This window comes from Homo sapiens, chromosome 10, assembly GCF_000001405.40.
Source record: "Homo sapiens chromosome 10, GRCh38.p14 Primary Assembly".
Classification (NCBI taxonomy): Eukaryota; Metazoa; Chordata; class Mammalia; order Primates; family Hominidae; genus Homo; species Homo sapiens.
Window position 1 is genome coordinate 14,915,530 of NC_000010.11, and position 15,459 is coordinate 14,930,988.

Here is a 15,459-nt window from a genome sequence, read left to right on the forward strand (position 1 = left end):
ACATGGATAAGACAAATTCTTTGACAGATTCAAGTTACCAAAGTTAACTCAATAAAAAAAAAAATAACCTGAATAGTCCTGTGCCTATTAGAGAAATCACATTTGTAGTTAAAAAAAAAAAACCTTCCCACAAAGAAAACTCCTTTCCCACCCAGATGGCTTCACTGGTAAATTCTACCAGTCATTTAAGAAAGATATAATGCCAATCCTCGAAAAATTTTTCCAGAGACTGAGAATAAACACCTCACAACAATGAGGCCAGCAGTATCCTGATACCAAAACCACACAATTACAAGGAAAAGACAAAACTCCAGATCAATATCCCTTCTGAAAGTAAATGAGAAAATTCTTACCATAATACTTAAAAAGGATAATATGCCATGACTAAGTGGGATTAGAGAAATGCAAGTTTGGTTTAACACTCAAAAATCAGTGTATGTCACCATATTAACAGAGTATAAAGAAAAACAATATGATCATCTCAACAAATACAGAAAAAGCGTTAGACAAAACCCATTATCCATTGTTGATATCTCTCCACCTACCAAGAACAGAAGGGAAGTAATTCTGCCTGACACAAAGCCTATACTTATCATTATACTTAATGGTGAAATAATGAACTTAATGGTGAAACAATGAATGCTTTCTCCTTGAGATTGGGAACAAGGCAGTGACACCCACTCTTGCCACTTGTTTCACACTGTAGTGGTAGTCTAGACAAGAAAGAGAAAAACATCCTGGCTGAAAAGGAAGAAGCAAAACTGTCTATATACACAAACAATGATGATCTTATATAGAAACCGCAATGGAATCTACAAGAAAAGGCACTAGAACTGATACTTGAGATTAGCAAGGTTGCAGGATACAAGATCAAAAATCAATTGCACAGGTTGCATTGCATATCCCTAATCCAAAAGTCTGACATCTGAACTACAAAGGAAATCCTTATTGCAGCATTTTAGATTTTCTGATTAAAGAGGTTCAACCATTAAATGCAAATGCAAATGTTCCAAAATTCAAAGAAGTCCAAAATCCAAAACACTTCTGCTCCCAAGCATTTTGAATAAGGGACACTCAGCCTATATTTCTATATACTAACAACAATCAGGAATTGAAACTTAAAAAGTAATACCATGTGCAACAGTATCCCCCAAAATGAAATACTTAGGGATTGATTTACACAGACTTATACGCTGGAAATCATAAAACACTGCTGAGAGAAATTAGAGCAGACTTAAGTAAACTGAGAGGTATACCATGTTCATGGATCTGAAAATTCAGTATTGTTAAGATGCCAGTTCTTGCCAAATTGATCAACAGATTTAAAACAATCCTCATCAAAACCTCAGGAGAGGACATTTTTGTACAAATTGGCGTATGATTCTAAAATTCATATGGAAATGCAGAGGACCTAGGATAACCAAAACAACTTTGAAAATGAACAAGGCTGGAGAACTTAAAGCACCTGACTTCAAGATTTACAAAGCTACAGTAATCGAGATGGGTGATATTGGTGTCAAGATAGAGATTATGAAACATAAGAAAGAATCCAGAAAATAATCTCCACATATCTTGTAAATTGACTCTCAAGAAAAGTGCTAAAGCAATTCAGTGAATTAAGATAGTGTTTCCAACAAATGGTTTAAGAACATTTGGATATCCATACAGACACACACACAAAATTACCTGGGATCTACATTTGAACCATATTTTTAAAAACAAAAATGAATCACAGATCTAAATGTAAAACCTAAAATTGTAACAACTTCTGGCAGAAAACAGGAGAAAATATTTATGCCTTTGGGTCAAAGATTTCTTAGATATGATACAAAAAAAAGTAAAAATTGATAAGTTCACTTAAAATTTAAAATTTCTGCTCTTCAAAATACTCTGCTAAAAAGATTGAAAAGATTACCTACAGAGTAGAAGAAAATCTTTGTATACACCTGATATATTTAAAAAAAAAAAACAAAAAAAACTTGTATCCAGAAACTTAGGAAAACTTAGTAATATGATGGGTGCAGTGGCTCATGCATGTAATTCCAGCACTTTAGGAGGCCAAGGCAGGCAGATTGCTTGAGCTCAGGAGTCCGAGACCAGCTTGGGCAACATGGTGAAACTCCATGTCTACAAAAAATATAAAAATTAGCCAGGCATGGTGGCATGTGCCTGTACTACTTGGGAGGCTGAAGTGGGAGGATCACTTGAGCTTGGGAGGTTGAGGTTGCAGTGAGCTGTGATTGTGCCACTGTACTCCAGTCTGGGTGACAGCAAGACTCTGTCTCAAAACAAAACAAACCCAACAATTTAAAAATGAGTAAAGATTTGAATAGACACTTCACCAATGAAGATACATGGATGGCAAATACGCACATTAAAAGATGCACAACCTTGCTAGTCATTAGAGAAATGCAAATTAAAACCACAAAGAGCTATCACTGCACACCTATTAGGATATTTAAAATTAAAAAGTCTAACCATACCAAGTATTGGCAACGATGTGGAGCAACTGAACTCTCATACACTTCTCCTGGGAACACAAAATGGTCAAACCACTTTGGAAAACATTTTGGCAGTTTCTTAAAGATACAGCTACCATATGACCCATTCTTAGGTGTGAAAGCCTACGTCCATACAAAAGTTTGTACATGAATGTTCATGGCAGCTTTCTTTTTAATAAGAAAGACACTGGAAACAACCCAAAAATACATCAACAGGTGAATGGATCAGCAACTTGTAGTATATCCCTGAGGTGGCCTACTCCTTATCAATAAAAGAGGGTGAACTATTGATACATGCAACAACATGAATGAATCTCTGATGCACTGAGTAAAATAACCCAGACGTACTATATGATTCTATTTATATGAAATTCTAGAACATGCAAACTATAGTGACAGAAGGCAGATCAGTGGATGCCTTGGCATGGGTGAGAACCGGAGGGAATTACAAAGGGGCATAAGAAAACTTGAAGGTGATAATTTCAGTATCTTAATTGTAGTCATGGTTTCTCAAGTATATGCATATACAAAAAATTTATCAAATTGTACACCTTACATGTGCAGTTTATATCAATTATACCTCAGGAAAGCTGTTTTTTAAAAAAAAAAAAAAAGAAAAAAACCTTAGTAAATTTGTAAGGATTAGAGGATGCATTACATAATAGAGTTAACATCTGAAATTAATGGAACTGTTTTTCTAAAACCTTTTAATTATTGAAACAAAAACAAATGTGGTTTTTTTTGGGCACCAGTTATAGGCTTACTATATCAGTCTTGGAATTGTCATCTAAATGTTTTAAAATTAGATTCTCCATGAGCAGAAATGCAGAAGCAGAGATGAGACAGGCCTAGATTAGAATCCCAGGCCCATCACTTACTTCTTGCTAGTCCTTAGGGACTTAAGTCTCTAAACTTCAGTTTCCTCATCATTATAATTGGGATGGTACCCCTTGTAAGTTTGTTTAGAGGCTTATCTATAACATATGTAAGGGACCTAGCACAATACCTGCCATTAATAGGTGTTCAAAAAATAGTATCATCATTATCTCGTGTGTTTTGGTCAAGTATTTACTGCATGGCAGAGTAACTGACTTTCCACCAAAGGAATGAAAATCAAGAATCCTAACCACGAAATAGGGCTGCTGGAAAGCCCCAGAGCTTTGCTCAGAATCTAACGTTCTGATTACTACTGCAGAGCTTGCCTCTGTCCTTCACTAGAAAAATCAAAGTAGCAATGAAAGAAGGTACAAAGTATAGAGAAAAATCCTTCTGTATAAACACTACTGATCAACTTGATCAGAAATGATGATGAGAAAAGTCTATTATCAGCATTTACTAGTATCTTAAGAAAATGTTCAAGGATAACAAACCAGCCTCTCTATGTCCTAAGAAAATGTTCAAGGATAACAAACCAGCCTCTCTTTATGGCCTCTACTGATCTTAGGGTGTATTTCCAGAAAGCTGAGAACACCACACACGATGGCACCGTTTTCACCACTTGTTTTAACCCAGAGAAGGAGAGCAGACTCCTGATTTTACAGGCTGAAGACAGGAAGGCAAAGTACTTCCTGAGACCATGTGTCAAGTCTGACCTGTGGTGGGTCCCAGGTCCACTCTGCCCAAGGCCACTTCTCCCAGACCCAAGCTCCCTGGAAAGCAGTGTTTGCAGGGAGCCCACCCCTCTGAACCCAGGACCATTTTTCTTACCTGAGTCTCGGTGAACTGTTCTAGCTCTCTTCAGTTTTCCCAGTGGTTTATACTTTGGCTCCGTACTTTGGGAAGACCGGCATAAAGGCTTTAAGCTGAAATGAATCAGAATATTTGATTTTTCCTTTTGAGGAAGTTGTTAGAAGGTAGACATCATTGATAGTATTACAAATTTTTTTGATTTTGTTTTTTAATTTCTTGGATCCCTGTTTTTAACAAAATCTTGACCATAAGGGAAATCACACAACTACTTTGGAGGATTGAAAAGCAGTTCTAAACTGATTTCATAGTTAAAAATCACTTTGATGTAATAAAGTGGCAAATATAAGCAATTAAATGCAACCCGGTTGATGTTTATCTTATTGTTACATCAGTAGACTAAGGTAAAACTTAGATCTTTGCTCTTGGAATGCAAAAAAAGCAGGTCCCTATCCTGAAAACCTATGAATACAGTGACATCCTCTGGCATTCGGGATACAATATAACTAGCTGCTTCTCCTGCCCTGTTCAGTAGGGTTTACTTATATCTCACAGGAATCTCCACAAATTTATCTTGTCATTCTAGGTCCTTAGGCTGAAAGCTAAGACAAAGTGGAGATAAAATACAAAAAGGCAGAGAAATAAGATTTGAAGACGTCCTACCCCTTTCGAAGGCCTCACTGCCAACTGCCTCCTCCTGGCAGATTCCGGGAAGCCTTTAGGATGATCTACAACATACCATTTGAACAGGGCCATGAGGTGCCCAACCTGAAACTTCTTTACAGCCACCCCCATTTTACGTCCTCACCCCTGTTCCCACAGCTGTTCTCTGGATCCATCCCCTTCAACCTTTCCAGGAGTTCTGATCCATTACTGTGTCTCTTTACATCATTTCAGCTATTCTCCTGGGTTAACTTTTCAAAGTAAGGTTGTCTTCCCCCACCTACCTACAACAGAATTGTCTGCTAGAAATGAAGGATGGGGGCCGGGTGCGGTGGCTCATGCCTGGAATCCCAGCACTTTGGGAGGCCAAGGCAGGTGGATCATTTGAGGTCAGGAATTCAAGACCAGCCTGGCCAACATGGTAAGACCCCGTCTCTATTAAAAATACAAATATTAGCCAGGTGTGGTGGTGGGCGCCTGGAATCACAACTACTCACAAGGCTTGAGGCAGGAAAATCGCTTGAACCCAAGAGGTGGAGTTTGCAGTGAGCCGAGGTTGCACCACTGCACTCCAGCCTGGGTGACAGAGCCAGACTCTGTCTCAAAAAAAAAAAAGATGCAGGATAAGGAATGAATATGCATTTTAACAAGCACCTCGGCTGGGCACGGTGGCTCACACCTGTAATCCCAGCACTTGGGGAGGCCTAGGTGGGCAGATCACGAGAGGTCAAGAGATCAAGACCATCCTGGCTAACATGGTGAAACCCCGTCTCTACTAAAAATACAAAAAATTAGCCGGGCGTGGTCGCGGGCGCCTGTAGTCCCAGCTACTCGGGAGGCTGAGGCAGGAGAATGGTGTGAACCTGGGATGGGGAGCTTGTAGTGAGCCGAGATCGCGCCACTGCACTCCAACCTGGGTGACAGAGCGAGACTCCATCTCAAAAAAAGAAAAAAAAAACAAGCACCTGAAGTGATTCCTAAACACATCCAAGTTTATGTATATTCAAGTTTAGTTCTACAGGCATATTTAAGTCTCAGCTATTTTAAGATCAAGCCTCCTGATTCTGTTGCCTCCTGTTGCCATCTTGTCTCTAACTTTCCCTTCACTGTCAAACTTTTTATATAGTCTGTCCTCAGTATTTTCCATTTCCTCACTTTTTACCTATTTCTCGACTGAAATCTGGCTTGTAACTCACAAGTCTACTGAATTGCTCTCACTGAGCACACACAAATGACCTAATTACCAAGGAAACGGGACACCTGGTAGTCCCCATATTATTTGACTTCTCAAGACACTCCATGGGCACCCTCTGCTTACCCTTCCCTTTGCTCTCATCCCGCTGTCTGGGCCACTCTCTCCATCTTGGCCCAGCTTCTCCTCCTTCACTTCTACCTTGAATGTGCTGCCCAGGGTTCTGGCCTCAGCTCTATGATCCCTCCTCCCACTCCTGGTGACTTCTTCTTTTCTCATGGTTTTAGTTCTCACCTGCACTGCCAACTCCAATTCTGTGTCTCCAACCCAGACCTCTCTCCAGAGATTCTCCATCCTCCTTTCCATCGACATCTGCAAGCCTGGTCCTGTCTGTCCCCATCGGGGTCTGCGAAGCAGATTCCCTGACACGGGGCCTCATTCCTTCTGCACCCATTGAGCTTGTGTGCTGCCTTTGCACCCGGCCTCTCCGTGAGACTGGAGCTCTGCTAGGACAGGCTGTGTCTTAGGCAAATTGGAACCCAAGCTCCATTCCCACCATATGGCTGGCACTAAAGAAATCATTCATGGGCCGGGTGCAGTGGCTCATGCCTGTAATCCCAACACTTTGGGAGGCTGAGACAGGTGGATCACTTGAGCTCGGGAGTTCGAGACCATCCTGGTCAACATGGCAAAACCTTGTCTCTACTAAAAATACAAAAATTAGCCGGGCATGATGGCATGCACCTGTAGTCACAGCTACTCGGGAGGCTGAGGCAGGAGAATCGTTTGAACCCAGGAGGTGGAGGTTGCAGTGAGCCGAGATCATGCCACTGTACTCCAGCCTGGGTGACAGAGTGAGACCCTGTCTAAAAAAAAAAAAAAAATCATTCATGAATGCATAAATGAAACCCAAAGAAGAGGTAAGAAAATGGTAATACTGTAGTAAAAGACATCCATGAATACGATTGCACCTCTCCTTTGGCTTCAGTTATCCATTCAGTAGACACTTGACAACCTACTTGGCATGGTGCTAGGTGCTTTTCTTACACTATCTCCCTGTATCATCTCTTTCTTTTTTAAGAAGACCAACAAGTAGGCATCAATATTCCTATTTTGCTGATTCAGAATGACTAGCTCAGAGAAGTGATCTGGCCAAGCTCACACTGCACTGTTAGTAAGTGGCGGAGCTGGGTTGCAACCCAGGAGAAGCTGACAACACTACCTATACCTTCTGCCACACTGTGGAACTAAAGGAAACACTCCAGGAAAAAATGGAAATGAGTATCAGTTCAGAAATGTCCCAAAACAAACAGATTCTAGACTTGTAAACATTCAGGCAAACTCTCCTTTGTGTCCTAGCCAAGAGCCACCAAGGGGGACACCAAGTCCCACAACCAGTGACTACTCACATTTCGACAACTTTATCCATAGTTGTGCCAACTGGAATGACATTTGGATATGCGTTCACAGGACAGAGGTAGCTCAAGAAATCTTTAATCTAGAAAAAGGAAAATCACATGGATCAACAATCTCTACGATGAAACAGGTTGTTAGGGGAGATAAAGGGAGGCTGGGGAAAGAGAAGCAGAACTCTCTTATGGCTGTGGTTCTCAATGCTGGCTGCACGTGGGGATCACCAGGGACCTCTTGGGAAAAAAATATCCAATGCCTGGGCCTCACTCCCAAAGATCTCCTGAACACTGAGTACTAGTGGGCCTAGAAATCAGTACATTTAAATATTCCCCAGGTGATTCTGATCCACAGTAAGAGCTGAGAATCACCAATGGGACTCAAAGATTCTTTTTTTTTTCTCTTTTTTAATATATTGCTTTCCTTGTCCAAGAAGGTCAGTTGCTTATGTTTAACAAATCCCTTTTCAAATAAGTTAGAATTTAGCTGGGCATTAACTATAATATACACAAAAACCCAAGGTCTCAGAATTGCATTTCTTAGCTGGGCACAGTGGTACATGTCTGTGATCCCAGCTACTCAAGGCTGAGGCAGGAGGATTGCTTAAGCCCAGGGATTTGAGGCCAGCCTGGGCAACACAGAGACACCTCATCTCCAAAAAAGAACAACAAAAGAATTGCACTTATTTACTCCTACCAATAATCATTAACGATGCCAAGAGAATTACACCTTTGAGGTTACTTGATTTGTTCAAATGGTTCATTCTCATTGGGCAGAACACCATGCATTCGTCACTGATTCCAGGGAAGGATCCAAACACTGCCCATTGTACCTTGGTGTTGGAGTCACCAAGGAAAACACAATGCAGTCAAGCACTGGAGGGAGCAATGCTTCACTTACTGAGAAAAGACCAAGCAAGATCAAATCCAACAATGTGCACTGGTCTCCAGTGACCAGTGTGTCTCTCCCTGCAGCCAACACAGGGCAACCTGCCTACATGCAACCCTCTCCTGCCACACAGGAAGGAACCCCCATCATGCTGTCTGAAATAAGGACAGCTGGGGTGTGCCTAAGGGCCATTGACACACAGGCTTAAGTAGAACAAAGGGACACACATCAAGTACGAAGCAGAGAAAGATGTTTCCACACAAGGTACTGAGCTGCCGCAGGCTGTGTGCTCACGCTAACGGGAGTGCTTGCTCTCTCTCACTCGCGTGCGCTCTCTCTCAATAAGGAAGTGTCCCATTCTTATGTGGCCAGTGAGGGTTGAAAGACTGTGCACATAGACTGCCTCTCCCAATGATTAATTCTAAACAAACAATTACATGCAAAAACTTCATGAATACCTTGACTTTTTGCAAAGTTCAGAATGCTAAACAGAGGAACTCTGTCACTATTCCTCAAAACATCTCTACAACCTAGAGGAACTTCAGCTTTGTCTCTTATTAGACATTGGTGAGCTTGTGATCTCAGTCAAGTTACCTAATGTCTCTAATTTTAGATTCTTCATTTAAAAGTATAAATGAGATTATGCATGTGAAGTGCTTAGCTTGGTATCTGGTGAAACAGTCAATAAAATCATCCAGGCCAGGCGTGGTGGCTCACACCTGTAATTCCAGCACTTTGGGAGGCCGAGCCGGGTGGATCACAAGGTCAGGAGTTCGAGACCAACCTGGCTAACACGGTGAAACCCCGTCTCTACTAAAAATACAAAAAATTAGCTGGGTGTGGTCGTGGGCGCCGTAGTCCCAGCTACTCAAGAAGTTGAGGCAGGAGAATGGTGTGAACCCGGGAGGCGGAGGTTGCAGTGAGCCGAGATCACGCCACTGCACTCCAGCCTGGGCAATAAAGCGAGACTCCATCTCAAAAAAATAAATAAATAAAAATTAAAAAATTAAAAAAAAAATCATCCATTACTAAGTTGATAATGAGAACACAAAGACTTTTATGCCCTTCTGCAAATGGACAGACTAGAACCCAATGTAATTATTAGTATCCCACCAAACTGAAAGAGGCAGAAACCCAAGAATTGCCAATAACTCTACATAAAAATAAAAGGGCTACTTTAAGACAGTGGAAAGGCAGGAAGATCTATTCTTTAAATAGTTTTCACAAACAGTATCTTTTGTACCTTCACAGGAGGCATGCAAATAGAAATCATTACCTGCCCGCCCAACACCGATTTGATTTGCACAAAGCTGAGGCTGGTAGAAATCTGAGACTTTTGAAGGGAATAAAGGATTTAAAAAAAAAAAAAAAAAAAAAAAGTAAAGTCAAGCCTATACCAGAAATGGTTCACTACTACTTCTCAGAGATGAAATGGCCCCAAGGAGATAAGAGACACCCAATAAAGGAGCACCCCCTCTCATTTATATAAGTTGACTCCCTTTTATCAAATGCCTGCCTTAAAATAAGGCATCAATAGCGCCAATTCTCTTTATTCACAGTAGTTATACTCTATAAATTATAGTCACCATAAATGCTGAATTAGCAAATACTGAGCCATTGCTGCTAGGGAAAATACAGGGTTCCTGCCATCCTTTGGTGACATCGTTTTCACCAGCCAATTAATACATAACCTTGTTTTATGTGTGTTTCTGTTGAAAGACACCTTATTTAATAGACACTTTGATCCATTAACATTGAACTCATGGTCAATAGCCCTATAACCCATGCCTATCTAACATACATATTTTCTCTAGAAGCCACGTTACAGTCCTCCCGTGCTTAGGAACACTCGATAGGACTTCAGTATTATGACTGGTCACCATTTAAATAAGATCACCAACAAAAAGCACAAAAATATGAAAAACATGGCACTTAATAGATGGCAAAAAGGAAACTTTCGATATGGTTTGGCTGCGTCCCTACCCAAATTTCATCTTGAACTGTAGCTTCCATCATCCCCATGTGTCGGAGGGACCAGTGGGAGGCAATTTAATCACGGGGGTGGCTACCTCCATACTGTTCTAATGACAGTTCTCACGAGATCTGATGGTTTTATAAGGGGCTTTTCCCCACTTTCACTCTGCACTTCTTGCTGCCGCCATGTGAAGAAGGATGTGTTTGCTATGATTGTAAATTCCCTGAGGCCTCCCCAGCCCTGCGGAACTATGAGTCAATTAAACCTCTTTCCTTCCTCATACCCATCTCGGGCATGTCCTTAGAGCAGCAGGAGAACAGACTGATACACTTGTTGACAGAGTAAGAGCTGAAAGAAGGCAGAGCATTGCCTTGTTCTACCTGAGCCGAGAACGTGCACGTCAGGTGATTCAAAATTTTCACCACTCTCCACAAGTCCACAAAGGATCACAAAAGCACTGTAAATATTGATACTGAGGTCACAGGTCAGTTTCAGTGAGTAGGCCAACACATAAAAATAGAATCCATGAAGCCAGGTGCAGTGACTTACACGTGTAACCCAGCACTTTGGGAGGCCAAGGCAGACGGATTACCTGACGTCAGTTCAAAACCAGCCTGGCCAATGTGGTAAAACCCTGTCTCTGCTAAAAATACAAAAATTTTAGCTGGGCATGGTGGTGGGCACCTGTAGTCCCAGCTATTCGGGAGGCTGAGGCAGGAGAATCACCTGAACCCAGGAGGCAGAGGTTGCAGTGAGCCGAGAACACACCACTGTACCCCAACCTGGGCGACAGAGTAAAACACTGTCTCAACCAAAAAAAAAAAAAAAAAGGAATCCATGAATAATGAGGATGAACTGCATTTAGGAAAAAAAAACTAAAAGGAAATGAAACTTACATAGAAACAGAGATGCTTCTGAGAGTCAGGGGACTACCTGTCAACTACCAAGGCTGCAGAACACTGAGCGATAAGGGTTATGAGTATATGGGATCCTCTTACCTCACTGTAGGAGGAGTGAAAAGAAAAACAAGCTCTGTATGAACTCTCTCCAGTCCTAAAGGGAAGTGAAAACACAAAATAAAAAGATCACTGAGCAAAACTAAAACTAAGCAAAGCTGGCCCTTCTCATTTAGGCTATTCTAGCATGAAACCACTCTAATGGGCTCGCTTCAGCAGCAAGTGTCGAAATCACCCTAAATCAGGAATTTCTTCTTGGGATAGCAGGGAACCTTTTCCAGAAGTGGAAACCTGTTGTAGACCGCGTGTGGTGGCTCACGCCTATAATCCCAGCACTATGGGAGGCCGACGCGTACGGATTGCCTGAGCTCAGGAGTTCGAGACCAGCCTAGCAAACATAGTGAAACTCTGTCTCTACTGAAAACACAAAAAGTTAGCTCGGCATGGTGGTAGTACATGCCTGTAATCCCAGCTACTAGTGAGGCTGAGGCAGGAGAATCACTTGAACCGGGAGGCAGAGGCTGCAGTGAGCTGAGATCACACCACTTCACTCCAGCCTGAGTGACAGAGTGAGATTCTTTCTCCACACAAAAAAAAAAGAAGGGAGGGAGGGAGGGAGGGACCTCTTGCAGATATTCTGAACAGCCAAAGTTAAGGAAATGTTGCTAAAATATTAAGATCATTATAGTCACTCCTCTATTCCACCAAGGGTTCTGTTCTCTCTGACATCAGTTTTTCCTCTTAGCCAAGCACTCAGATGGGAGGGAGGGAGTGGGGGGGGAGAAAGGAGAGGGAGGGAAGAAGGGATGGAGGAGAGGGAGGGAGGGAGGGAGGGACCTGTTGCAGAAATTTTAAACAGCCAAAGTTAAGGAAATATTGCTAAAATATTGTGATCATGATAGTCACTCCTCTGCTCCACCAAGGGTTCTGTTCTGTATGACATCAATTTGTTACTCTAAGCCAAGCACTCAGATGCCTTCAGTCTCCAACCATCTCATCAACCTACCCAGAGGGAACCTCAGGATACACCAGCTGATGGGAGTGTAACTGGTTTGGGAGTAGCATCCCCTCCATTTAAATAAAATTTAAATTTAAGAAATTAATTATAATATATAATTATATTCTTGGGCTTAGGCTAGACTGTGCTTAAATGAAATTAAATCAGACAATTTACTCAAAGTTTCTCTCAGAAGACCTATGATATTGCTCTCTTACCTCACAATTACATTTGTTTTTCTGCTCCTTTCTCCAAACCACATGGTGGATGGCTTAATGCTGATTATGTGGAGTGGAATTCTATTTCTGGAAGTAATTCCACAGGGTAATTTGCTCCACTGAAAATATTCCTCTGCCTAAAAAAGATAAAAAGCATAGAAAAACAGTTCTACATTTTCTACAAATCTGTTGTAGGCAGAGTCTCAAAAACAAAAGTAGAAAAGTTTCCAGACACGAAAAAATAAAAAATAAAAAAAAAGCAGCAAAACAATGTAGACATGAAGAAACAATCAGATAATTCCAAATTGGGGAATATTGTGCAAAACAACTGGGCTGGACTCTTCAAAACCATCAATGTGAAGACAAGCAAAAGGCTAGACAAACGATCTATATATCAAAGGAGACCCTTTAGACCTGACTGAACGCAATGGACGACCCTCAAATAAATCCTGGATGCCCCTGTCCCCCTATTCTACAAGCTATAAAGGACACTATGGGAAGAACTGGGGACATCTGAACACGGACTGTGTAACAGCTAATAGTACTATATGAACACAAAATGTTCTGAGGAAGGGTATTGTACTGTGGTTATATAGGAAAATGTTCTTATTCTCAAGAGCCACAGGCTGAAGGATTTGGGGTGACGTACCATGGAGTCTGTAACTACTCTCAATTGGTTTGGAGTGGGGAGTTGGTTATAAGTACAGAGACAGAGGAAGAGAGGTGCAAAGTGTTGGCAACGCAGCAAATCCAAACGAAGGGTGTATGGTGTTTTTTTTTTTTTTTTTAGACAGTCTCGCTTTGTCACTCAGGCTGGAGTGTGGTGGTACCATCTCAACTCACTAAAACCTCTGCCTTCTGGGTTCAAGCAAGTCTCATGTGTCATCCTCCCAAGTAGCTGAAATTATAGGCACACACCACCACACCCAGCTAAATTTTCTATTTTTAGTTACAGGATTTCACCATGTTGGCTGGGCTGGTCTCGAACTCCTGACCTCAAGAGATCTGCCCACCTTGGCCTCCTAAACTGTTGGAATTACAGGCGAGAGCCACTGGGCCCAGACCCTTGTACCAGTCTTACAACTTTACTGTTTAAGAAGTTTTCAGGGCCGGTTGTGGTGGCTTATGCCTATAATCCCAGCACTCTGGGAGGCTGAGGCAGGTGGATCACTTGAGGTCAGGAGTCCAAGACCAGTCTGACCAACATGGTGAAACTCTGTCTCTACTAAAAATACAAAACTAGCCAGGCATGGTGGCGCATGCCTGTAATCCCAGCTACTTGGGAGGCTGAGGCGGGAGAATCGCTTGAACCCAGGAGGTGGAGATTGCAGTGAGCCCAGATTGCGCCACTGCACTCCAGCCTGGGCAACGGAGCGAAACTCTATCTCAAAAAACCATTTTTTTTTAATTAAAAAAAAAAAAAAGATCTCAGCCTGGGCAATATAGTGGGATTCCATCTCTACAAAAAAATGTAAAAATTAGCCAGGTGGGTGGTACACAACTGCAGTCCCAGCTATTCAGGAGGCCGAGGCAGGAAGATCACTTGAGCCTGGGGGGTCGAGGCTACAGTGAGCAATGATTGCACCACTGCACTCCAGCCTGGGTGACAGAGCAAGACTCTATAAAATAAATTCATTAATTCAAATTAAAAAGTTTTCAAAATAAATTTGGAGGGAAAAAAACTAACAAATACAAGTGTTTTCAAAAGGTTGAAAAAAAATGGGACAACTTTTCCAAAGTCATTATTTTGAAATCCAGAACCTTCCAAACCATTAACGTTCCATCCCACTCAAATTTCTTTGGGGTGCCTTTGGTGCTGTTTCTTAGGAAGGTGCAGATTAGAGTTAAGAGTGGACTCTATGAGCTGTGGACCTACCTGTTAATATTCTAAAGGAGTGCGTGACCTAAAAAAATCTTTTAAGCGGCTAGAAATAGCATCTCAAGGAAAGTAGCCCTGACAGCAAAGGAATTACTAACTAAGCTACTTTGTGGGATGTGAGAAAATTCACAGCAAAAAGAAATTTGCCAATTCAAGGATTTATGGGGCAAGGGGCCCAATACTATGAGTCCAACAGAAAAAGGGACAAAAAGGTGTATGTTTTATTTATTTACTTGAGACGGGGTTTCACTCTGTCACCCAGGCTGGAGTGCAGTGGTACAATCTTGGCTTACTGCAACCTCCACCTCCCAAACTCAAGCAATTCTCCCACCTCAGCTTCGTAAGTATCTGGGACTCCAGGCATGCACCACCACACTCAGCACCTTTTTTTTTTTTTTTTTTTTTTTTTTGTATTTTTTGTAGTGACGGGGTTTCACCACGTTACCCAGGCTGGTCTCGAACTCCTAGACTCAAGCGATCCACCTGCCTTGGCCTCCCAAAGTGCTGGGATTACAGATGTGAGCCACTAAGTTTATGGGTTTTGTTTGTTTTTTTTGAGGCAGAGTCTTGCTCTGTCACCCAGACTGGAGTGCAGTGGTGACATCTTGGCTCACTGCAACCTCCGCCTCCTAGGTTCAAGTGATTCTCATGCCTCAGCCTCCCTAGTAGCTAGGGCTACAGGCACACACCACCATGCCCAGCTAATTTTTTTATTTTTACTAGAGACGGGGTTTTGCCACACTGAGCAGACTGGTTTCGAACTGCTGACCTCAAGTGATCCACACGCCTCGGCCTCTTAAAGCACTAGCATTACAGGCATGAGCCACCACACCCGGCCGGTTTACGTTTTATGTATACATTTTTATCCATCCAAGAATCCACTGGACGTGTCTGTATATGTGAATATATATGTGTATTTATATGTGCATACATGCACACAAAGTGAAGAAATAAATCCCTGAATGCAACATAGAATATGCAGCTTACCAATCAGCAAAAATAATTTACACTGCAGCTCTCACCGTGGCCTACAGGAAAACATTCCATGCTGTGGATCAGAATTCTCTCTTGTTTGAAATTATGCTTTATCGTAA

General features: G+C 41.9%; 1 protein-coding gene across 23 annotated transcripts in view, besides 1 other annotated feature; it reads right to left on the reverse strand.

The window, feature by feature from the left end:
- Positions 1 to 15,459, reverse strand: part of DCLRE1C (DNA cross-link repair 1C) — a 57,074-nt gene that overhangs the window by 18,171 nt on the left and 23,444 nt on the right. For 18 of the 23 annotated variants that reach the window (NR_110297.2, NM_001350966.2, NM_001350965.2 and 15 more), the window contains 4 exons: positions 12,487 to 12,623; positions 11,314 to 11,368; positions 7,452 to 7,540; positions 4,209 to 4,303 (listed from right to left, as the gene is read on the reverse strand). Coding sequence is in view for 18 of the 23 variants with exons in the window: in NM_001350966.2 (NP_001337895.1) it covers positions 4,209 to 4,303; positions 7,452 to 7,540; positions 11,314 to 11,368; positions 12,487 to 12,623 (376 nt within the window). In the remaining 5 variants the exon portion in view is untranslated. Of the gene's footprint in view, positions 1 to 4,208; positions 4,304 to 4,850; positions 4,916 to 7,450; positions 7,541 to 11,313; positions 11,369 to 12,486; positions 12,624 to 15,459 lie in introns of those variants that run through there. The other 5 variants (NR_146962.1, NR_146961.2, XR_930515.3 and 2 more) reach the window with 4 other exon arrangements.
- Positions 11,438 to 11,717: an enhancer, noted in NCBI's record as "active region_3086". NCBI's record gives its function as "activates an Ori minimal core promoter by ATAC-STARR-seq in GM12878 lymphoblastoid cells {active_cell/tissue: GM12878}" and the evidence as "EXISTENCE:reporter gene assay evidence [ECO:0000049][PMID:35858748]".